Genomic DNA, 23,877 nt, shown 5'->3' on the forward strand with positions numbered 1-23,877 from the left:
GGGTTTTCCACATGTCTAGATGATAAAGCCACGGCCAGCAGAGGGACTTGACAAAGGGGAGGAGTGCAAGAGGGTGCACAGGCAAAAATGCTGCACCTGCGTGGGAGCTGGTTGGCAGGCGAGGGAGTCTTGGGGGCTGGATGGAGCATGAAGTCCCATTTTGCCCAGTTCATTGCTTGGCTTCAGGTCCCCTCTGCTGTGTCACCTCCTGCTGTGAGCACCTAGAATGGATTCCTACGGGTTTTCCTTTGTGTTGCTTGTCGTGACTTATTTACCTTGTATAATTAGCCATGTTTTGGAAGTTTGGGATGGTTTGGAAGCAACTGTGCCAGAAAACTGGAAAAAAATGTTTTTCAGTTGACAACGACATGATGGTCAGGTCTGGTCAATGGTCCCTCATCCACAGTTGTTGGGCCTTGGCGTCCCTTTCCTGGGATTCTGAAGTTTTTGTATGAGTCAACGGTAGAGCCTTTATTGCTGGTGGCTCTCAGCGCCACCTCTGCAGTGGTGTGGGCATCTCGTTGGTGGGAGTGAGGGCTTATGTAGCGATGACCAGTGGGGACAAGGCTTACTCTTGTGCCCAGGCCTTTTTTCCAGTGTCTCTCCATGCTAAGGGTCAGGCGGGGTCACTCCTCCACCCCTGCTGCCCGCCGCCTCTCCCTGATTCCTTGAGATGGGTGTTAGAAATAGTACATTTGGAATCTCTTTCACATTGGCGACTTGGCTCCTTGTGCCTTTCCAATTTCTCATTCTGAGCTGGGCTTAATGAGAGATGGCACATTGATTACTTGTTAATAAAGAGATGTTGCTGGTTGGTCATGGTTTTTCTTTGCCATTCCTGGAGTGTCTCACAAACCTCTAGGAGGGAGAGAGATTCCTCTTGAAGATACTTGATTAAGAAGTATCTTCTTGAGGGGGCAGCCTGGGGAACATGGCAAAACCTCGTCTCTACAGAAAAAAAAAAAAAATTTAGCTGGGTGTCATGGTGCGCACCTATAGTCCCGGCTGCTTTGGAGGCTGAGGTGGGAGGGTCACCTGAGTCCAGGAGGTCAAGGCTACAGTGAGCCATGGTGGCACTGCTGCACTCCAACCTGGGCAACATAACGAGACTCTGTCTCAAAAAGAAAAAATAAAAAACTCAAGGATGATGCAGGGCTTGAGTGCGACTCTCCTTGCATGTCCCTGCTTACTTAATCAGCATTTCTTCCTTTTTGCATCCCTCTCCTACCTCTGCCCTCCTCTCTGGTGGCTAGAAGACCTAAGGAGGGGAGGCTATTAGTGGCTAAACCTCTATTTAGGGGTCTGCTGGTTTATATGGCACTAGCTCTATGTGGAAAGCAGTAGACTCTATTTTTTTTTTCTTTTTTTGGAGACAGAGTCTCACTCTGTCGCCAGGCTGGAGTATAGTGGCGCAATCTTGGCTCACTGCAACCTCCACCTCCTGGGTTCAAGTTATTCTCCTGCCTCAGCCTCCTGAGTAGCTGGGACTACAGGTTCCTGCCACCAAGCCTGGCTAATTTTTTGTATTTTTAGTAGAGACAGGGTTTCACCATGTTGGCCAGGGTGGTCTCGATCTCTTGACCTCGTGATCCACCTACCTTGGCCTCCCAAAGTGCTGGGATTACAGGTGTGAGCCACCACGCTCGGCCTTTTTTTTTTTTTTTTTTTTAAGTAAAATGGAGATCAGTTTGCTGCTCTTTCTACCTCACAGGGCAGACATGTGAATAGGATGACAAAATAAGAATGCACTTTATTTTAAAAGGGGCTGTGTCTTATAAATCAGTAACGATACCTGTATACTATTCCTCAAGCCCTGAATGTCCTAGTAAGTAAAAAATTTATGATAGAGGAAAATTTACTGGAGTTTGAATAGGAAAGTGTGTGCATGCCTGTGTGTATGAGTGTGTGAATGAACATGTGCAGGTGTGCTAGGCAAGTCAAGTCTGAACTTCTATTTTTCAGGTTGACAACATCCAACCAACACTTGTTTGGGCCCTTTAGTGCAAAAGAATATGCAAGCCCTTTTGCTTGCTAACTTTGAGTTGAGTCTTAGTAGGTGTCCTGGGGCAGGCTTTAGTTGTTTTTCTTTCCTCCTGCTGAATGTGATCCTGTTCCAGGGGCTTGTTCTTTGGGTCACAGTTGGCCTGGGGCCACTTAGTGTCTGAGGTCCTAAGCTTTGGGGTGAGCCAAAGCTTAGCCAAAGCGATTGCTTTGTTACTCATGTAGTTTTTTCCCCCTACCTCAGAGAGGATTTTCCCCTTGAATGATCAATTTTCGTGAAATAATTTAAAAGGAAGAAATTACTAGAAAGAGGCAGCGGGTGACCCACGATTGTTACTCCCCCTCTCTGATGTGATCCAGGACCTCAGCTCTGTAGGCTCTGAGCAGAGTTGCGGCTTCAGATGTCTGCCGAGGTGCTGCATCAGCCTCAGGCAGTGACAGTCCTACCACCTGTTTCCATTTAAAGCCACTAATATTTATCAGGACCTATGCTTTCTAGGACTGCAAAGGTGGAAGAAGATTGCAGCAGCCAGCCATGTGTCCTAGCAGGTTTCAGCTTCGGGGTGCATTTGATGTGTTCACACCTCACCTGAATAAGTAGCCACATGGTTTTTTTTTTTTTTTTTCCCTTGAGATGGAGTTTTGCTCTTGTTGCCCAGGCTGGAGTGCAATGGCATGATCTCAGCTCACCGCAACCTCCGCCTCCAGGTTCAAGCAATTCTCCTGCCTCAGCCTCCCTAGTAGCTGGGATTACAGGCATGTGCCACCACGCCTGGCTACTTTGTATTTTTAGTAGAGACGGGGTTTCTCCATGTTGGTCAGGCTGGTCTCAAACTCCCAACCTCAGGTGATCCACCCGCCTCGGCCTCCCAAAGTGCTGGGATTACAGGTGTGAGCCACCGTGCCCGGCACTAGCCACGTGGTCTTGTACGAAGAGGCAGGTGTTGTGTGCCACTCATCCAAGGGAAGCTCTATGTCAGGTGCCAGTCCTCATGATGGACAGGAATCTTTAGCTGGCTTTATTAAGAAAAATAAGAATTCCATGTTTATTTCAGATAATGTTTTCTCTCTTTGCAATGAAGTTTTGTTGAAATAGAGCATAGAGAAATGAACACAAATCATAACTGGACGAGTTGATGAATTTTCACAAACTGAACTCACCTGTGTAACCTGCATCCAGCTCAGGAAATAACCTGATCAGTATTTCAGAAGCCCCCTGATACCCCTGCTGGTGCACCGCCTTCCCACAGTCATAATCTCGACTTAGTTTTGCTTGTGTGTGTGTGTGTTTATTTTATTTTATTTTATTTTTAAGACAGAGTCTCGCTCTGTTGCCCAGCAGGCTGGAGTACAGTGGCGCAATCTCAGCTCACTGCAACCTCTGCCTCCCAGATTCCAGTGATTCTCCTGCCTCAGACTCCCAAGTAGCAGGGACTACAGGCACACGCTACCATGCCCGGCTAATTTTTGTATTTTTTAGTAGAGACGGGGTTTCACCATATTGGCCAGGCTGGTCTCGAACTTCCTCGTGATCCGCCTGCGTCGGCCTCCCAAAATGCTGGAATTACAGGCGTGAGCCACCGCGTCTGGCCAGTTTTGCCTGTTTTTGAACTTAATGTAAATGGACCTGCCCAGTGTGTCCTCTTGTTTCTGGTTTTGTTCAGCATGATGTTTGTGAGATTTGCCTCCATCTTCGTGTGAGTTGTGGGTCTGTCATTCTCATCATAATATGGTACTCATTCATTTTGTTCATATTACGTACCTGTTCTTCTGTACGTAGGTATGTAGGCAGTTTCCAGACTCTGGCTGTGATGTATAGAGCAATACGAATAATGTTATTTATGTCTTCAACACGGATGGGTTTATACCTAGACGTAGTATTTAGATGTGTTTGCTTTGCTTTTCCTAGTGCATTCATTTATTGAGTAAATAGTTACTGAGCATCACTGCGGGCCAGGCTCTGGCTCAGGCCCTAGGGGTGAGAGCAGAAATAAGACAAGCAAGGTGTGTTAGAGGGAGAGGAGCAGTTGTTTTGGATGGTCTCTAAAGAGTCGACATTTCAGCGAGGGCTTGAAGGATGAGAGCAAGGCCAACAGGTAAGAGGCGCCTACTCCATGCGAGGGGAAGAGCATGCACAGGAGCACTCACAGAAATTGCTGGTGGCTCAAGAGTGGCCTGGTGAGCGCAGAGTGACCAGCTGTTGGCTAGACCCTATCCAAGCTGAGGAAGTCATGGCCTGGGACATTTAACTTCTCATTGTTGGAGTCAGGAGGAAGGGCTGTATCTGTCTGTACTTTTAACTAGGCTGGGCGTGGTGGCTCACGCCTGTAATCCCAGCACTTTGGGCGGCTGAGGCAGGTGGATCACGAGACCAGCCTGGCCGATATGGTGAAACCCCGTCTCTACTAAAAATACAAAATACAAAATACAAAAATTAGCCGGGCGTGGTGGCGGGTGCCTGTAGTCCCAGCTACTTGGGGGCTGAGGCAGGAGAATTGCTTGAACCCGGGAGGCGGAGGTTGCAGTGAGCCGAGATTGCGGCACTGCGCTGCAGCCTGGGTGACAAAGCAAGACTCTGTCTCAAAAACATAAATAAATAAACATAAAAAATCAATAAATAAAAATAATAAACTAAATGATGGAAGAAGGAGCACCAGTGTGGGCTGCTTCACAGAAGCCCCCAGGAGAGGACCAGGAAACATGTACTTTGCTTTGTGCTGTCCACAGTTGGCCCCCTGCCTGGGTCTTCTGAAAGGCCCGTGGGCTGTCCACTTGAGGAAACTGGCTGGACACATTGTTAGGGCCATCTGTTTTGGAAACCAGCACTACTCTTGGGTTCCTGGTTTTTAACCAGTGATTCATCTTCCCTGGACCCTCAGGGTCCAGATTGCCAGGCTGAGAGTGTGCCAGGCATGTTAGCATCTTGGGGATGGAGGGAAGTCTGGTTAGCCAGAGGGGACCCCTGTTTTTAGGAGACAAGTGAGGTAGTGCTATAGGCTGAATAATGAGAGACCAGAGCTGGAGGAAATGGCCTGGCGCTGTGGGTGTGGCTCTTGCCAGCTGGGCTCTGGGCTTCCCTTCCGGAACCAGAACCAGTGTGGTGTGAGGCTCTGGTGGGAATGAGACCCACATGCAGGCTGGACAGCATCCTCTGGCCATTTCTCTTTCCCTCGTTCATTGCCTTGTGTCTCATCTTTAATGAAAATGCCCTTGTTAGGAAATTGTCTGGTTCTGGGGAAAATCTCTCCTGACCGCACAGCTGCCACCCCCATAGGGAGGAGGATGTGGAAGGAGACACTAAGGACAGCGCCAAACTCTCTAGAGCTCCCTCTTTGCTGAGCAGCTGGCTGATGGCCGTGGCCACGGGGGTACTTATTCCCCGTCAGAGTAGGGGTGCCTCTTGCCTTTCCCCCAACCCCCCTGCCTCTGGCAGCCCTTTTCTGAACTTCTTTGGATGTTTTTCTAGTGTATATTTTCACCCTCTAATTTTATTAGTGAGGAAAGAAGATAAAAGGCTCTTGTGTCTTTCATGAAGCTCTTGAAACTGTCCCTCTTACAGAGCAAGGCTACAGCCACCCACTGACTTCCCACTTTCTGACCGTCCGCCCACCTCTGTGTTCCCTTCTGGATCTCTTCCTCCCTTCAAAAGTCAAACTGCAGTTCTGTGTTTTGGATATGAGTGGTGAGAACCGTTGTTGTTAATTGACAGGTCTTTAATTCCTGATTGATTTCTCTATTTCACTTAGCTTGTAAATCTGAAATGATGTAGAAAGCATAAAAGTTTGATTCTAGGGAAGCCTAGCCACCAAGAAGGTACCTTGTTTCCATGTTACCTTTGTTAATGCGATGTGAGTGCATTTTTAAGAGTTAATCTGGAGAAATGTAAATGAAAACCACAATGAGATACCATCTCACGCCAGTTAGAATGGCGATCATTAAAAAGTCAGGAAACAGGCCGGCGCGGTGCCTCACGCCTGTAATCCCAGCACTTTGCGACGCTGAGATGGATGGATCACGAGGTCAGGAGATCGAGACCATCCTGGCTAACACGGTGAAACCCCGTCTCTACTAAAAACACACAAAAAATTAGCCAGGCGTGGTGGTGGGCACCAGTAGTCCCAGCTACTCGGGAGGCTGAGGTGGGAGAATGGCATGAACCTGGGAGGCAGAGCATGCAGTGAGCTGAGATCGCGCCACTGCACTCCAGCCTGGGCAACAGAGCGAGACTCTGTCTCAAACAAACAAACAAACAAACAAATAAAAACCAGGAAACAACAGATGCTGGAGAGGATGTGAAGAAATAGGAATGTTTTTACACTGTTGGTGGGAATGAAATTAGTTCAACCATTGTGGAAGACAGTGTGGCAATTCCTCAAGGATCTAGAACTAGAAATAGCATTTGACTCAGCAATCCCATCACTGGGTATATGCAAAGGATTATAAATCATGCTACTATGAAGACACACACAAACGTGTGTTTATTGTGGCACTATTCACAATAGCAAAGACTTGGAACCAACCCACATGTCTATCAGTGATGGACTGGATTAAGAAAATGTGGCACATATACACCATGGAATACTATGCAGCCATAAAAAAGGATGAGTTCATGTCCTTTGCAGGGACATGGATGAAGCTGGAAACCATCATTCTCAGCAAACTATCGCAAGGACAGAAAACCAAACACTACATGTTCTCACTCATAGGTGGGAATTGAACAATGAGAACACTTGGACACAGGAAGGGGAACATCACACACTGGGGCCTGTTGTGGGATCGGGGGAGTGGGGAGGGATAGCATTAGGAGAAATACCTAACGTAAATGATGAGTTGATGAGTGCAGCAAACCAACATAACACATGTATACCTATATATCAAACCTGCAGATTGTGCACATGTACCCTAGAACTTAAAGTATATTTAAAAAAAAAAAAGTTAATCTGACACCTGACTTGTGAGAGGTAATTAGCCAGAAGTGTTCTTCAGTCTACTAGGGTACCCAAATACTTTTTTTGCAATTAAATAATTGCAAAAAATTTTGGTGTTGTTGGGTGATGGATCACTTTTATTCTTGTTCATGTTAGCAGCCAGCTATCGGGCATTCTTGAAGTGCTCATTTTAAATGCAAATTCTTTGCACAATTAGGAGGAAAATGAAATTGTTCTGGCTCCTAGCACTCACTCTGCATTTTTGCCATTCCTTCTGATGGCTGAGGGGAGGGCTCATGACTAAATCACTCAGCATCTTGATGATGATTTCGGATTTGTACTTGCTGAGAGGAAACTTTGCCCCGGGATGTTAACCCTCTGTTGCCCATGGGCACTATGGGGGTGCATGTGTGATTACTCAGAGTTTTCAGTAGTCTTTTTTCCCCCCTTAAATGATCTTTAGATTTCCTCTCTCATTTGCTCTAATGGATAATGCATGTACTTGGGAAACTTGTGGTGAGCGCGTTTTTTTTTTTTTTTTTTTTTTTGGTTTTTGTTTTTAAGGCAAATGAAATATGCTAAGCCCTTTAGTTCTTCTACTTGGCAGCAGCAGTATGTGCTGTTTCCTTTTAGCCTTGGAAGATTCCTCTGGTTCTCTCTCTTTGCTGGGAGTTATCGCTTACTTTCCCGTTGGCCTAGCCCCCCTATCCCAGCTTGCCACCTGGAGAATCCGTGGCTTGGTGTGTGATAATGGGATTCCTGTGCGGTGCGGCTGGGGAAGTGGTTCTGTCTCCGACTCTTTCAGAGAACGAGTGTGATGATAATTGTATGGAGGCAGTGAAAACCGTAATCCTCTCCCCTAGTCAGGCCAGTTATATTCCTTTTCCTGAACGTGAACATTTTACATGTAAAACAGTCCCTGTGTTCTGTCGTTCTCGAAACTATCGGGTTATGTGTGGAGGGGTTTAGCCTCTCAGCTAAGTTGTTGTCTTCCATGGAGCTGTGTAAACAGCTGGAGCCAATGGAGAAGGTTTTGGGAATGGCAAGGTGGTAGCACATTTTCTCTATCCATGAAACAATGGCTTTAATACTAAGTCTGTCCCCTAAGATGGGGTAGTGAGCTGATTTTATGGTTGCAAAGTATTATGAAAATGGAAAATTCTTACATGTACATTGAATGCAGTTGCAGCTGTGCTGTTTTTAAATTTTATTGTAAAGCATTTTTTTTTCTCTTCTGTTTATGCATTTCTGCAGAGCAGAACATAGAATTGGAAATGAAGCTTCCATGTCTGTCCTTAGTTTGTTGGCTGAATAGAATCATAGGTTTTAGGATTGGAAGGAGTTTGTAGAGTCCAGGAACTCCTTGTGTCTCATTCCTGTGGAGTAGGAGGTCGCGAGGGACTGGCGTGGTGGCTGGTGATAAGGAGAAAGCAGTTGCTTTTAGCATTGCTCCCTTTTCCAGAGGAAATATGATGGGGCTTTGAGAGAACTGGTGGGAAATGCCCCCTGATCAGGGGAGGTATGATGAGAGGCAGCGGCTGCCAGCCTGGAGAGCAGCCGTACTTTAAGCCCTGAATAATTAATGGTTGAACTCAGTCTAGGGGTTGCAAAACCTCCGAAACAGGCCAACCTCTCTGTTTAGTGACAATGAACCAGAGACCCAGGAAGGTCCGGTGGTATGTCTGGACCGAGGAGCCTATCAGAGAACGAACTAGGACTCGTGACTTTGTTCTAGTCTTCTTCCTGCTTCCTACATTTTAGGCTTTCTCAGTCCTCAGCACTGTTGCCGTTTGGGGCTGGATGATTCTTTGTTGTGCGGGGCTGGCCTGTGCATCGTAGGGTGTTCAGCAGCATCCCTGGCCTCTCTACCCAGTAGGTGCCACTAGCATCCCCACCCCCTTTCAGGTGTGACAGCCAAAAACGTCTCCAGACATTGCCAAATGTTCCCTGTGGGGTGAAATTGCTCCTTGTTGAGAACCGTTGCTTTAGAGGACTTATGATGCCCCTGGGAATTTGTAAACACAGCTTTTATATTAGCATGATCCCTTTTCTCCTTTTGCTTTGGAATATAAAATGCACAGCTGAGATATTTAGTATTTACTGTAGCCCTTCCAGTAGGTAACACTGGCTGAAAGCCTGTTGATAGGAAAGTGGTCAACACAGTTCTGTATTAAACCGCCTTGTGTTTGGGTTGACAGTTTTCCCCTAAGGAGATTTGATTTTGGTTTTATTTTCAGATTTGGGATGCTGATGACACTGACTCTGACCTTGTCTCCACTAAGCAGCTTGTACTTTTAATTTTTGCAAATGGCTGTGAATGGGGACAAACTGCCCAGTGGGTGGGGAAGTTGTCAAAATATTCCAAAAGCCAATGAGATTTCAGCATTCTGAAAGCCAGTGAAGAATTAGCCCTCCGTTTTGTGAGCCTTGCCTCAAGCTTGGGGGAGGACACTCACCAAACTAAACCTCCCTCGATATAGAGATGTGTGGGCAGATTTTAAAGTTGACCATTGCCTTATGAGTTACGGAATGGCTGTGGGTGCCTGTGAACTGGATGGATGTAAAGTGGCAAAGAGCCCCATACCAGGAGGCCGGAGTCCTGGGTTCTGTGCCTTGGCCTGCCTCCAAGTCTTTTGGTCAGGTCACCAAACATAATTGAGCAGTAGGTTATTGTCTGTAGGAGAAGGAGAGAGACAAAATTTTTGCTTCCCAGATAGGGGTGAAGTGCTAAGTGGTGAGCCTGGATTTGTGAAACCACAGGATAAACCTAAGATATCTTATTGGAGCCTTAATTTTACTCAGGTAATATGGAAGACAAGAGATTATTTTAAGGCCGGCTGTGGTGGCTCACGCCTGTAATCCCAGCACTTTGGGAGGTCGAGGTGGGTGGATCACCTGAGGTCAGGAGTTCGAGACCAGCCCGGCCAACATGGCAAAACCTCGTCTCTACTAAAAATACGAAATTAGCCGTGCATGGTGGTGCACGCCTGTAATCCCAGCTACTCGAGAGACTGAGGCAGGAGAATCGCCAAGAGGTAGAGGTTGCGGTGAGCTGAGATTGCGCCATTGCACTCCAGCCTGGGTGACAGAGTGAGACTCTGTCTCAAAAAAAAAATTAGTGTGAAAAAAAGCATGCACATATTGAATAATTGCAAAATTTGCATGACATGAATTTAAGCTAGAACACAGAACTTCATAAAGGAAGGAAACCTCAGACTTGCTGTGAATGGCTTCCCTAGTGTCAGGTGGCCCACCCCTTTAGTCCTTTGTGGAGTTTTGGCCAGATAATTTTATAATCCCTGCGGGGCCAGATCTCCAAAGTTCCTTCTGCATCTAAAATTTCTGGTTGGAGCAGAAAAGACACATCCTTGGCATAGTCTTGGGTAAGTTCACACACTTATCACCAGGCAGAGCCTTAGAAAGAATAAACAACAATAATAAAGGTTGTCTAGCTTTTAATAATCCAGACCCTTAAGTTTTCCTTCCATCCTTTTGGTGTAAATTGGAAAGCTGTTGCGAAGGCTTAAATAAATTTAATTTATTAAATAAATTTTTAAATTTAATTTATTAAATAAATTTCCAAAATAAATTTTGGAGCAGGCCTCATTTTGGTGTGGGACCCTCAGAGCTTAAGCATTGCCACCTAAGAGTTGACCTAAACTAGGAAATGAGCCAGAGGGTATAGCATGCTGATTTAAACTTCTTTGAAATGCCTGCAACAGAATGATGACAAGGGTGTTGGCTGTGGGGTCCATGTGAAAGTTAAATTACTGACATCCCCTGCACAGCTGGGATTTACTAAGCTGGGGAAAGTTAAGATGTTAAGACACTCCAGCCAGTCAGTTTTCATTTCTGAAATTATTTAATGTTACAAAGGAGTTGTCGGCTGGGTGTGGTGGCTGATGCCTGTAATCCCAGCACTTTGGGAGGCCAAGGCAGGCGGATCACAGGGTCAGGAGATTGAGACCATCCTGGCCAACAAGGTGAAACCCTGTCTGTACTAAAAATACAAAAAATTAGCCGGGTGTGGTGGCGGGCGCCTGTAGTCCCAGCTACTTTGGAGGCTGAGGCAGGAGAATGGCGTGAACCCGGGAGGCGGAGCTTGCAGTGAGCTGAGATTGCACCACTGCACTCCAGCCTGGGCGACAGAGCTAGACTCTGTCTCAAAAAAAAAATAAAAATAAAAAAAATACAAAAATAAAAAAAAAAATACAAAGGAGTTGTCTTTTGATGTTGATGTTCATGACAATTCTTTAGAAATGAATGTCAAAGGCTTCAGACAGGGATGCTCATTTCCATGCTGTTTTCTTGAGAGAGATAAGGCCAGGGCCTGGCAGGTGAGCAGAAGAACACCTACGAATACAGCAATTGCCCAGAAAACGGCTGCTGTAACCATTTGTCAACAATTTACCCTATGTGAGATGACTTTTCTATATGATGTAATAAAGATAATTTACAATGTTTTCGTGAAGGCAGGAGTAGGTGGTAGAGGGGGTTTTTCTTTGTCTTTTCTTGGCGTGTAATTGAAACAGAGCTTGGACTAAATGAGAAACATTTGTGTTGGAAAAAAGATTCCAGAAGCTTCTTGACTAGAGTCAAAAATTGCTTCCTTGTTTTATTGTGAGCATGTAAGCAGACTTCTCATCTAAGACAAGTGTTAAGAACATTGCCATTTCTGTCTGTTCATGAGCAGATGCATTTTCTGACCTAGGGAACTGTCTACATTGTAGACCAGATAGCACACACAGTGAATCAGAAGACAAAGTGTGTGAGTTGATCTGTCTCAAAAGAAATACATGGCTTTTGTGTGGATTTATAAATTCAGTCCCTTTCACAATGCTGCTTACCCAAAAGCTGTTCTTTATAAAGAAAAGTGTGCCCGTGCATTTTGAAGTCCCAAGCTTTTTTAAATTGGCCCCAGAGGAATGCTGGAGTTTGCAGAGGAAGACTAGTTGTTCTGCCATTGGGAAATAGGGCCTGAATGGATGGAGCAATGTGACTGAATACTTTGTGTTGGTGGAGTGTGCAAAGAAAAACTCTCCTCTTGTTCAGGCTGCTTGTGTGCTTGGCTTGATTCTGGAGTTGGCACTCTTGAGAGCCACCCACAAGCACCCTTAAAGCACTAACACACAGGCAATTCCTAAGTGGATGCCTAATGAAGGAAATATTTTAATCCCTTTGCTCTTACTGGCTCTCTTCTAGCTAAAGTCTGGTAGTTTAAAAAAGCAAAAGCCAAATTAAGAATACAGAACCCACTCCTCAATATGTCACCTTCTTCAAAAGTAAAACATCCCGGTGGATTTTGCCATCTTTCCTGAGCTCAAAATGGGCATGGCTCTTGCGTGTGGGTGTGTGTTTGTGTGGGGGTGTGTGTGTGAGAGAGAGAGCGAGAGAGAGAGCGCATGCACATGTAAGTCCAGCATTCTTCGTGATTGACTCAAAACAATAGCTTTATAGGGAAACCATTGCTAAGAGCTCAGGAAAAGTAAAGGCCTGCCAATTCCAGAAGGACAAAGGGTTTCAGCAACTAACATGGGAACAAAATGATCTCATGCCCCTTTCCCACTGAGACTGCACATAAGTGGGATCCTTCCCAAATTCTGAGGGCTCACTTATAGACACAGTCAGTGTTTCCAACCTATGGGACCCATTCGGGAGGATGGCCAAACCAGGAAACAGATTCCAGAGGTAGCTCTTTGATGTTTAACCCAGACAGTCAACCGACCCGGGCTCCTCAGCCAAGGAGGGGCTGAAACTCTTCAGTGAGGAAAACGAGACCCTGGCTTATGCTCAGGCATTAGTCACTACATCCAATGGCGAGTTCCCTTAAGTCAAAGGCCTGGGCCAGGGCTGACAGTGGACCTTTGATAACAGCTCTGCATCTCTGGGGTGCTAGGCTGCCAAACTTGAATTCCTAGTGATTCACACTAGCTGGCCCTTCACAGGCCTCAGAGAGCACGGGCAGGAAGAGGCCACAGGCTCCAGGCCTCCTGATGCCCCTGCCCCCAGCAGCCCTAAGAGTGGCCTGGAGCAGGTGCTGGGCAGGTGAGAATGGTATGCAGTTCTCAAGTGGCAGGTGAGATCCGCATGCAGGAGCTCTGGGACAGCCCCCAGCCACTGCCTTTGTTACCCACCGAGCCAGTGCAGGCACTGTGCTGGGAGAGAAAGGTGGGGGCATCTTTGAAGGTCTAAAAGTTTGGTGACACTTCCCTGCAGACAATAGTAGTTGTACTTTCAGTATCCTTGGAGAGAGAACATATCAAGACAAAAAGGCTATCGAGGCAATTCATATTTCATTAGTCATAGTAGGCCTTATGTACATTTTAAACGTAGCAAAATATAATTCTGGGACATTGCTAATTTGTTCTATAGACAATACTTGACATATATATGAAGAAGCTCTTGAATATCTGACACAACATGATAAAACTCCTCTGTTTTGCTCCAAACTGGGGTTAGGGTGGGGGTAAAAACAAACACAAGGCTGGGCATGTGTGGCTTACACCTGTAATCCCAGCACTTTGGGAGGCTGAAGCAGGAGGATGGCTTGAGCCCAGAAGTTCCAGAAGAGCCTGAGCAACATGGTGAAACTCTGCCTCTACAAAAAATTAGCTGGGCATGATGGCGTGTGCCTGTAGTCCCAGCTACTCGGGGGACTGAGAGGTGGGAGGATCACTTGAGCCCAGGAGGTCGAGGTCGAGGCTGCAGTGAGCCGAGATCATGCTGCTGCACTCCAGCCTGGGCAACAGAACGTGATCCTTCCTCAAAACAAAACACAAAATTGTTGCCATACTTAGGGGCAGTGCTGTTTGTAAGAAGCTTTAGGTCATATATGAAGATAAGAGTATGTTTTTGAAATAAGCTATAACCTGCGTCACCTCCTGAGTTTGGGTGTGCTCCAGTGTGCTACCCCAGCCGCACCCTGTATGTGCCTTTCCTGCATCTTTGCATGGCCCTTACAGGGAAGTCCCCTCCACTGGCCCCTTCATACTGCTCTAGGATTTTCTGTTCCCTTGTCTCTGTCAAACAAGAGTTCCCTGAGGGCAAGAACTACCCTTTTCTGCTGACACCCCAGCCCCTTATCTGGGGCCTGGCACCCAAGAGTCATGCTATGGAGGATCTGGAGGTAACTGAGATGAAAGATAAGAGTTGGTTTGGGGAAGGGTGAGGTTGGCCCTTTCACATTCGGGTTTGAAAACTCAGGACTGTAATAAAGACACAAGACAAATTCAGTAGTCTTCCCAAAGGCTGCAGGCAGGTGCACAGCCCAGCCTCCCTCATCAGTCAGTCAGATGGCAGCAGGAGGATGGGGGGCAGAGGCAGAGGGATTCCTTCTTTCTTGCGCCTTTCTGCCCAGCTCGCAGTGGTGCATTTCCTGCCTCCTTTCTTCCTTCTCCCCTGCGCTTGACATTCTCCACTGCATTCAGAATAAAGTTCCAATATCTTACCTTGGGATAGGAGGCCCGTCAGACTTAGATGCTCACCTGATTTCCCCTGATTCAGCTCCTGTTCCCACCTTTCCCATGCACCCACCCCCATGAGTCAGTCCCAAGGACTGATGTCTGGGAATCTCCTCACCCCACCACCTCCTGCATTGTATTCACCCACTTTGGGGTCTGTGTGCAAGTCATTTTTTCCAGGACCCCTCCCCACACCACCTATCTGATAGATCTCTTTCTTCCCCCAAACCCAGATCACATGCTCCCAGCCTTCGAGATGACTCCTTATATCTTCCTCATCTTTGTCCCATGGGGAGAACCCTCATGCCAGAGGGCTCCTTCTGTGTGCCTTTCACCCACGCTAGTGTGAGTTCCTGATAGGCAGGGATGCGGCTCCCTTCGCCTCTGGACCCTAGACAGCATCTGGCACGAAGCTTAGCAAACAGTGAGGACTCAAGTAGGCACTTCTCCCGTGCTTCAGCCCTGCACTGAGTATGGGGTGTGGGCCATCCAAAACTGGGTTCAAATGTTGCTTGATGTCATGGTGTCAATTTTTGGCTATTGTAACTAAAACATAAAAATGACAGCTTTGTTTACTAGTGAGATTTACCAAAAAAAAGTTTTTTTGGATGACATACTCTTGTTCAAATGATTAGGAAAGGAGTGTGCCTTCCTTATTTGGTCAAAATAGTAGTGGTGAGTGTGGGAAGGGTTAGGAATTGAGACACACTGATCATGCCCCTATAGCCTTTACCTATTTCTCCGACCGACGGATGACTTGAGCATTCGTTGAATGAGCAGAATTCCCCTGAGGAAGGTAAACTGACTGTGAGTGAGGTGCTTGGAGGAGGAGAGGCAAGGAAGCCAGGCCTCTGTGTGCAGCTGAGGAAGGGGGTGGCCCAGGGTTCCTCCTAAGTCTGTGGCCATGTCTGGTTCTTTGCTCCTTTCTTAGCTGTCAAAGGTGCCTTAATGAGACTGTTCCTGGTCACAGAATGTGCCACAGGAAATAGGCCTGCAGGGTGTGTAAGAGGAAAGACCAGTGGGTTTGCAGAAACCTGACACTGGCTTTTCCCAGACTGGGAGGCAGCCTCAGAGGTCAGCGTGGCATTAGCCCAGAGCACAGGACTGTCCCAGGGCGTAGACTTTTAAAAATGAAAGTGTATTTATAGATGGTGGCCCTGGGGACAGAACTTTCAACTGTTCCTTGTCAGGCCCCACCCCTTCACAGCACTGGGCTCACTTCAGTTTTATTGGTGTGTCTTAAAATGGGATTGGGAATAACACTGAGAATAATGCTTGGAGGTCCCTGTCACTAACACAAAACTGTCTTTTTTTTTTTTTAAGTGCTCGATTTCCATATACATACAGAAGAGTATGCAAAATGTAGGTGTAATTTAAAGAGTAACATGAACATCTGCGGAGCCAACAACCAGGTTACAAATACCTTAGAAGTCCTTCCCATCTCAACTTTTAACTGATCTTTGCTTTTCGTAGTTGCACTACCTATGTATGTGTTCCTAAACAATGTATGCTTTTGCTTATTATTCTTATTTTGAAAAATTGAGTACGGAGCACAAACCTGTGTTTGTAAGGGAAGGTTCCTACTGAAAACTATTAAGTGAAGAATCCTAGCAGAAGCAGAGGGCTTCAATAGTTGTGTGAGCTCAAAGGTCATACTTCTCTTTCATCAGTGCTACAAGAAGCCGGTTTCCTCACTGGATCCTGCTCTTCCTGTGCATCCCTTTGTAATTAGGGTTGCCATTCACAACTGCATTTACAAAGGAGTTGTACAGGGCCGGGCATGGTGGCTCACGCCTGTAATCCCAGCACTTTGGGAGGCCGAGGCAGGTGGATCACCTGAGGTCAGGAGTTCGAGACCAGCCTGGCCAAAGTGGTGAAAGCCTGTTTTTACTAAAAATACAAAAATTAGCCAGGTGTGGTGGCATGCATCTGTAACCCCAGCTACTTGGGAGGCTGAGGCAGAAAAATCGCTTGAACCCCGGAGGCGGAAGTTGCAGTGAGCCCAGACATGTGCCTTTGAGCTCCAACCTGGGTAACGAGCGAAAGTCTGTACTAAAAACAAAACAAAACAGAACAAACAAAGGAATTGTACAGCATTCAGAGAGACTTATAAAAGAGGATTCCTTTTAACATGTTAATTTAGCAGGGGTCCTAAACCTGAGGTTCAGAAAAGAAATTTCAGAGGGCTCATGAATCCTTGAAACTGAAGGCATAATTGTCTCTATGTTCTCCTTTTTGAGTGAAAGCATCTATCATTCTCAGAGGAATTTGTCATCCCTTCTCCACCCCTTTTTCACTCAGTAAGAATAAGGGATAATATGGGCCAGTCTTGGTGGCACATGCCTATAATCCCAGTGCTTTGGGAGGCTGAGGTGAGAGGATTGCTTGAGCCTGGGGGTTTGAGACCAACATAGTCAGACCCTGTCTCTACAAAAAATAAAATAATAAAATAATTAGCCAGGTGTGGCAGTGCATGCCTGTAGTCCTAGCTACTCGGGAGGCTGAGATGGGAGGATCACTTGAGCCAGGAGTTTGAGGCCGCAGTGAGCTATGATTGCACCATTGTCCTCCAGCCAGGACGGGAGAGTGAGACCCTGTCTCAAAAAAGAATAAGGAATAATGTGGAGGTTATGGTAGTGTTTTGTTTTTTAAATGGACCCTGAGGCTGTTGACGATTCCTTGAAATATGTTTGGTTTGCTTGTGTCTGAGTCGTCATTGGCTTCTCACGTTTGAGAGTGAAAGGAAAATGAGCTGTAGGTTAGACTCCGGGCTGTCCCAGGTGGAATCCTTGACGATGCTGTGGGTGGCCTTGCAGCCTTTGACTGTTCTCTGAAATCTGCATCTCACTCTCTTGACCCAGAGTAACTAGAATGCTAATGGAAAAAAAAAAAGTGGGACTGGTTGCTGCAGTTTCAAAACAAATGACCTCACTGCCTGAGTTCTACGCTATGCAAAAGAAACCCTAATTTTTGCCTTATAAATAATAATGGACCTTTGGGGAAATAGAGCCAAATACCCATTTAGTGAGGGTGGGGTATTTGGCTCTGTCTCCCTGAAGAATCGTTTAACGATTTGTCATTGCTGAAGCTTACTCCCTAGAAACAGAATGCAACCACTGTGACACCAACTTAGTAATTATTTCCTAAGAGATATGGTAATTTAAATTTATAATGACTTTCATTTCTTCAAGTTAAGAAAATAAACTTTGTATAAGCCGACTTAATGGGGACATTAATTTTCAGTTCTGTTCCAAAAGTGTAACAGAATTTTGGAATTTTCTAGCTGAAGGACACCTGAGTTTTATCACGCTCCTCGTTTTATAGATGAGTTGACTGAAGATCTGCAAAGTTAGGTGTGATCTGCTCGAGGTTGCATTGATGTGTCAGGGCTAACCGAAGCTAGAATGCAGGGGAAAGAGGCAACTATTTGGATGATTATATTTGAATTAATAACCCACCAACCTTTAAAATGCATGATTTTTTGTGGTCTCCAAGCATTTCCTGGGATGGTTCTGGTCTTGGGTGGGTAAACCTGATGTATGGAACAAGAGCTTTTCTTCTTGTTCTTATTCTTTATATCTCATAAATTCAGATTTTTGAAAAAAGTTTTTCAGTTTCCCTCTACAATTTTTAGATTTTCTTCCCCTGCTCAAATGTGAACAGTTCTTTCTTGAACTTTGTTTTTGACGAAAACCAGGAGTTTCAGTTTGGCTGGTGCAAGTCATTTGGGATTAAGGAGAGAGAACTGGGGGCATGGTTAAGATCTGGAACTGCAGGCTGCTTTGTCTCTTCAGTTAGGAGTCAGACAGAGTAAGAATAACATTTGTTTAGAAACAGAGTTTTATTAGAGTGGTAATTTACAGGTAAAATGTAAGCTTTATAGACTTGATTCTGCAATTCTATTCCTGGCCTTGCTGTTCCTCGCTGCTGATTTAGGGCAAGGCCTATCTTCTGAGTCTTGGCTTTTCTCATCTGTGAAAAGAGGGGCTTAGGCCTGAGTATTTCCAAGGACCCTTGGCAGCCATATGACTGGACTCCACGGTGGGATATTTGCAGAGAGGCTTCTCTGGAGCTGCTGCTTGTGGGCTGGCACCAAAACTGGAGGCAGAGGGTGCCAGCTGTGTTGCTGCACAGAGCCTCAGGAGCATGAACCCTGTGTGGCATTTTTCCCTCCTCCTGCTTTGTCACCTGAACCCCAGCAGTGTTGTTCAGTGCCGGGAGGATGTCGCTCACCCGCTGACACGGCTACCTGCACTGACACATGTCATTTGTGTCTTCTCTGCCAGTGCGCTGCTGCAGGGTGACATCTGGACTGGCCTCCTTGTCCCTCGGATGCTCGGCTGCCCAGAAGTTTCTGGATCAACTTGTTGAAGACCATGAGTAATCTTCATTTCTACTTCGCAAGCAGCTCTAGACCTGTGGCATCTCCAGCCAGGTCTGGCTGATGGACTCCTGCCCTCTGTGGCCAGCCTCTCTCACACCCAACTCCAAGAGCCTGGAAGATGGCAGCAGGGACTCCGTACAGGGCCCTTCTGTTGCCCCCAGCAGTCATAATGGTTTTGGGGCCTTCTGAATCTACCTTCTTGGAGCTACTTTGTTCCATCACCAGAGCCAAACCTACGAGTCCTGATTCTCTTCTTTGGCAGTTAGGGGAGTTTTGACCACTTTCCTCTCTTTCACTTTGCTCCAGCCACAATGGCCTGCCTTTACTGGCCTTCGAGAAAGCACCCGCTTTATGGTGGCAGATGCAGATGCCATTTCCTCTGTCCAACATCCTCTTGCCTGGCATGTACCTTCTCATCCATCATGTCTCATCCTAATGCCACCCCCTTTAGAGATGCTTATCTGACTACCTTGTTTCAATGTCTTCCTCCATCCCCAGGTATGCATCCTCTTTCTGTCTCTGATCCTTCCGTGTGTCTGTCTTTGCACTTAAAACAGGTTAGATCTCTTTAGTCGTTAGTAGACTGCCTATTCATCCATTCATTCAACAAATATTTCTTGAGTATTTACTATGTACCAGCAGCTGAGATAGGCACAGTCTATGCTGTCTAGAAACTTCCAATCCATGAAGAAAGACGAGATCAAGTAAAAGCCTAAGTAAACTGTCATGCTATTTGGGCAGAGTGCTTTGTTCTAATTACTCTAAAGCATCCTGGGCATCTTGTTAAAACACAGATCCTAACTCAGTAGGTCTGGGTGGGCCTGAGAGTCTGCATTTCTAACAAGATACAGGTGATGCTGCTGCCTTCTAGACCACACTTGGAGAAGTAAGGCTGTAAGCTTTTTGATGAAAATAAGACTTGTCCTGGAGTGTGACTCTTGCTGAACTGCCTGGGTGGATGTGGGTAAAGTTACTGGAGACCCTCAGGGTTTTGTCTGGCCTTGGAGTCTCTTCTAGCTGCAGGAGACTGAGTGGTCTGAGATGTGAGCCTGATTGAACAGTAGGGGAACCTGTTACCATCACCTGCATCTATGTGCTTGTCCTCCTTAAGGTTATCATAGGTTGTAGGTTTGTCCATTGAACCCTCCCTTAAATGTTGTGCTTTTCACATTCACTTGGTGGAATCCTATGGGCTCTCTCTGTAGGGTGTGTTCTGTATAAGTCAGCATTTCTGAAAATACTGCGGATGTTTGGTTTTTAAGAGCAGACTGTATCTGCTGGGCCCATGGGGCACTTGCAGTGAGATGTTGAGAATGGAGACCATACTGGAAGCTGGGGACTGGGGCAGAAACCTTCGAGCAGGTAGACTGAGGGCAGGTCAGATGCAGGGCACTGCTGTCAAAGGAGAGCCTGGGGTCCAAGCAGCAACTTGGCCCAAGGGTTGTGCTCCTGATACTGGCAGGTGGTGGGGGGGATGGAGGGGGGGGTGCAGCGGGGGCAGAGGGGAGCGGGGCGTTGCAGGCTCAACATTGTCCAGCTGCTGCAGTAGACCTTCTCAGAAACGTTGCTTTACTTTCATAAGCAGCTAAATTGATTCTCGCCCTAAATAGTTAACAGCTCTAACAGCATTCTCGGAGTACTTCCAGTGTCCTAGGCCTTGGGCTAAGTGTGTGGCACACGTTCTTGTAACTTAACCCTCCCTGCAGCCCAGGAGGCAGGTGCAGCCTCTGATTTACAGAGGACAGGACTGAAGGAACTCACCCAGTGGGTCACACAGCGAGAGTGTGCAGTCAGGATCCAGCCTGGACTATCAGACCTCATGTGGAGTTCCTTCTCTTGCTTTTAACCCCTGCATCATGACTAGAAGTGGGATTTTACAGCTAGTGGCGAGATGGGGTCGCTTATTATTTGCATCCTAGGTTATTTGTTACTTTCTTCTTTTTACCCACCCTCAGCTTAGACCCAGATAGGACCCTCCCCTGTATGGCAACTTTAAAATGTTGCTTCTATAGCACTGTGGCTCCTTGAGGTGGGGGAGAAACTTGGACAATGTGGGGGCAGTCGTGAACAGGGAAGAGAGAAAGGGTGTGTTCATTTTGGAGGCAGACTTCTTGTCTACCTCTGCCCACCTCCGCCAGGCTCAACCGGAACAGCTCTCCAGGGGGACTCGATTGTTTCTGGTAGTCTGGAGAGCCAGTGCCAAGACCTAGTCCTCGAGGGCTCAGGCTGGGAGGTAGGAGGTGAGGGTGGGTTAGGGGTTGATTCAGTGTGTTCTGATGACTGTTTTCTTGCCACTCAGTGGGATTTCTATGTCAAAGACAATCTCCAAGTGACCTCGCTCTGGTCAGAGTTATTTCGTCTATTTTGTATTAGATACGCAGTTCTAGTGTCTTAGGTGTTTTAAATTTTCATTAGGCTTCTCAACTTTTGGCTTCATGTATATGCTTAGTTCTGGGCTGGGCCAAGCCACCCACCAAATGCAGAATTAAGTTGAACCTACTTAGCCCGGCTTCCATGGCCAGGTATGTGTTGCAGTTCTTATGTTTTAGGCAATGGCAGATGGGAAACATGCTATCACTTTTGTGTTACAAACTGTGTTCCTAAATCCATGCGTATAACCCCTTCTGGAATGCTGGGATGTCCATCTAGTGACAGGATCGAATCAGATCTTAAAAGCAGCTCCTTCTTGCTTCTTTAGACTTAGTGGGGCTAAGCTTGTCTTTCCATCTAGTCAAGCCTCTGGAGCTTGGGGGAGCTGGATTCAAATCCCAGCTCTGTAATGTGATAACCTTGTGCCTGTGTGCATTTACCTGGGCCTCATATAGGCATCAAGGACTGGTACCCTCTATTCTCTGGGCTTATTTCCTCAACAGTAAAGGCGGGAGATGATTTTATTTTGCAGAGTTGTTTCAGAGCTATGCCCTTAGACTGGTGTGTACTTACCCTGGCTACTCATCCTTCAAGGACTGTCTGAAGTGTCCCCTTCCACTTGCGTCTGGCTGATCCCCTCTAATCAAGCACTTTCCCATTGTCTGAAGCAGACTTCTTTGTCTTTATTTTTATTTTTTTTTGAGACAGAGTCTTTCTCTCTCACCCAGGCTGGAGTGCAGTGGCGCAATCTTGGCTCACTGCAACCTCCGCCTCCTGGGTTCAAGCAATTCTCCTGCCTCAGCCTCCTAAGTAGCTGGGGTTACTACTGGGTGGTGGCTTGCACCACCACATCTGGCTAATTTTGTATTTTTAGTAGCGACGGGGTTTTACCATGTTGGCCAGGCTGGTCTCGAATTCCTGGCCCCAAGTGATCCGCCTGCCTCAGCCTCCCAAAGTGCTGGGATTACAGGTGTGAGCCACCATGCCCGGCCTTCTTTGTCTTTAGACAGTGAGCCCCTTGAGGGCAGGGACTGTGCTTCATCCTTGTGTCCCAGGCCCAGCACAGGACTGTGAGCTCGATAAACATCTGTTAAATAAACTCAACAAAGTAATTCCCTTTTTCCATTTGCTTGCCTAAAGCCAGCTTATCTGAAGAGTTACTAATAGGCACCACTGGTGAATACTTGAGCAGACCCAGGAGTGGTGATGGTGGGCCAGTTGGTCTCCTGTCATTGCAAGCCTCCTAATGAAAAGTCAGCAGGTGTTTCCTTGTCTTCTGTGGACTTCAGGAGTGAAGACCTCTCTGGGGTCTTCAGTTATTTGAGTAAAAGGGGAGAGCAGGTGGGTGGAAGGTGTTGGATGAGTGTCTTAAGAAGTGTCTGCTCCTTCCTATAACAGATTTTGTTTATATATCTTATTTGTTTATTGTTGTTATTTTGAGACAGAGTCTCACTCTGTCGCCCAGGCTGGAGTGCAGCGGCGCGATCTCAGCTCACTGCGACCTCTGCCTCCTGGGTTCAAGCGATTCTCCAGCCTCAACTTCCCGAGTAGCTGGGAGTATAGGTGCCCGCCACCATGCCTGGCTAATTTTTGTATTTTTATTAGAGACAGAGTTTCACCATGTTAGCCATGGTTGGCCAGGCTGATCTCAAACTCCTGGCCTCAAGTGATAACAGCCACCTCGGCCTCCCAAAGTGCTGGGATTACAGGCGTGAGCCACGGTGCCCGGCCTATATTTCTTTAAAATGTCTTCTTATTTTACAAAGTTAGAAAAGTAATTTACAACCTGTTGATATATTTAAAAATAAGACAAAGAAGTAAACATTTATAAAAAGGGAAACAGCTTTTTCCATAGTAGTCTTCATCACCCTGGTAAGCTGCCAGTGCTTCCAGTCTTCTGGTCCTGCGTTGCATGCCCTACGTTACCACACTTGGGACTGTCTTCCCTCATTGTGCCGGGATGTACTTTTTTTCTTTTTTTGAAGAAGTCACAATGTAATATAAATTTTAGATGGCCAGAGACACAAGCCCTTTCCCTTTCTGATACTGTGCTAAAGTGTTCAGACCTTTCCTGCATTGCTTTCTTTGCTTCCTGGCTCTGCCTCAAGGTGGGATTCTGTCAATCTCCCCTCATTCGAAATGTCCCCACCCCAGAGCTAGCACTATTGACAGGGCAGTTGGGATGAGGGGCACAGAAGAATTTTACCTGCAGCCTGTGGCTGAGTACCCATGCTTAACCCCATTCCAACGAACTAGTCCATTTTTTCATTTTATTACCTTGTCTGAAATTATGAGTCCATAGAGACGTCTAATCACAATTCTCTTCCTCATTGGGGATCCTGAAGGGCATGTTTCTCTTCATTAAAAAGCATGATTTTTCTAATGAAAGGGATGATTTAACTGAGAAGTTGCAAGTTGTTCTTTTTTCTTTTTTTTTTCTCTTGCTGAGAGAGTCTCACCTGGCTTAAAAACAACAAACTATTAATGTTAACCACATTTGCTTTTTGTGAGAAGGAAAAATATTTTCAAGGTGGTATCAGAACTCTATATTACATAAAACACTTGTGACCCCTTGTGTGTGGGAAAGTATGTGTATGTTTTTTATTTATTTTTTGAGACAGGTTTCAACCCATCACCCAGCTCACTGCAGTCGCGAACTCTTAGGCACAAACGATTGTCCTGCCTCAGCTTCTTGAGTAGCTGAAACTACAGGCACATGCCACCATGCCTAGCT

General features: G+C 46.4%; 1 protein-coding gene across 2 annotated transcripts in view, besides 1 other annotated feature; it reads left to right on the top strand.

Annotated features, from left to right (window-relative positions):
* TLN2 (talin 2) overlaps window positions 1-23,877 on the top strand; it is a 454,082-nt gene that overhangs the window by 67,101 nt on the left and 363,104 nt on the right. The window lies entirely within an intron of this gene.
* Window positions 7,000-7,531: an enhancer, noted in NCBI's record as "NANOG-H3K27ac hESC enhancer chr15:62756849-62757380 (GRCh37/hg19 assembly coordinates)". NCBI's record gives its function as "activates a minimal SCP1, AML or CMV promoter by ChIP-STARR-seq in naive H9 embryonic stem cells {active_cell/tissue: H9 hESC(naive)}" and the evidence as "EXISTENCE:reporter gene assay evidence [ECO:0000049][PMID:30033119]".

The sequence above is a fragment of the Homo sapiens genome, chromosome 15, assembly GCF_000001405.40.
Source record: "Homo sapiens chromosome 15, GRCh38.p14 Primary Assembly".
NCBI lineage: Eukaryota > Metazoa > Chordata > Mammalia > Primates > Hominidae > Homo > Homo sapiens.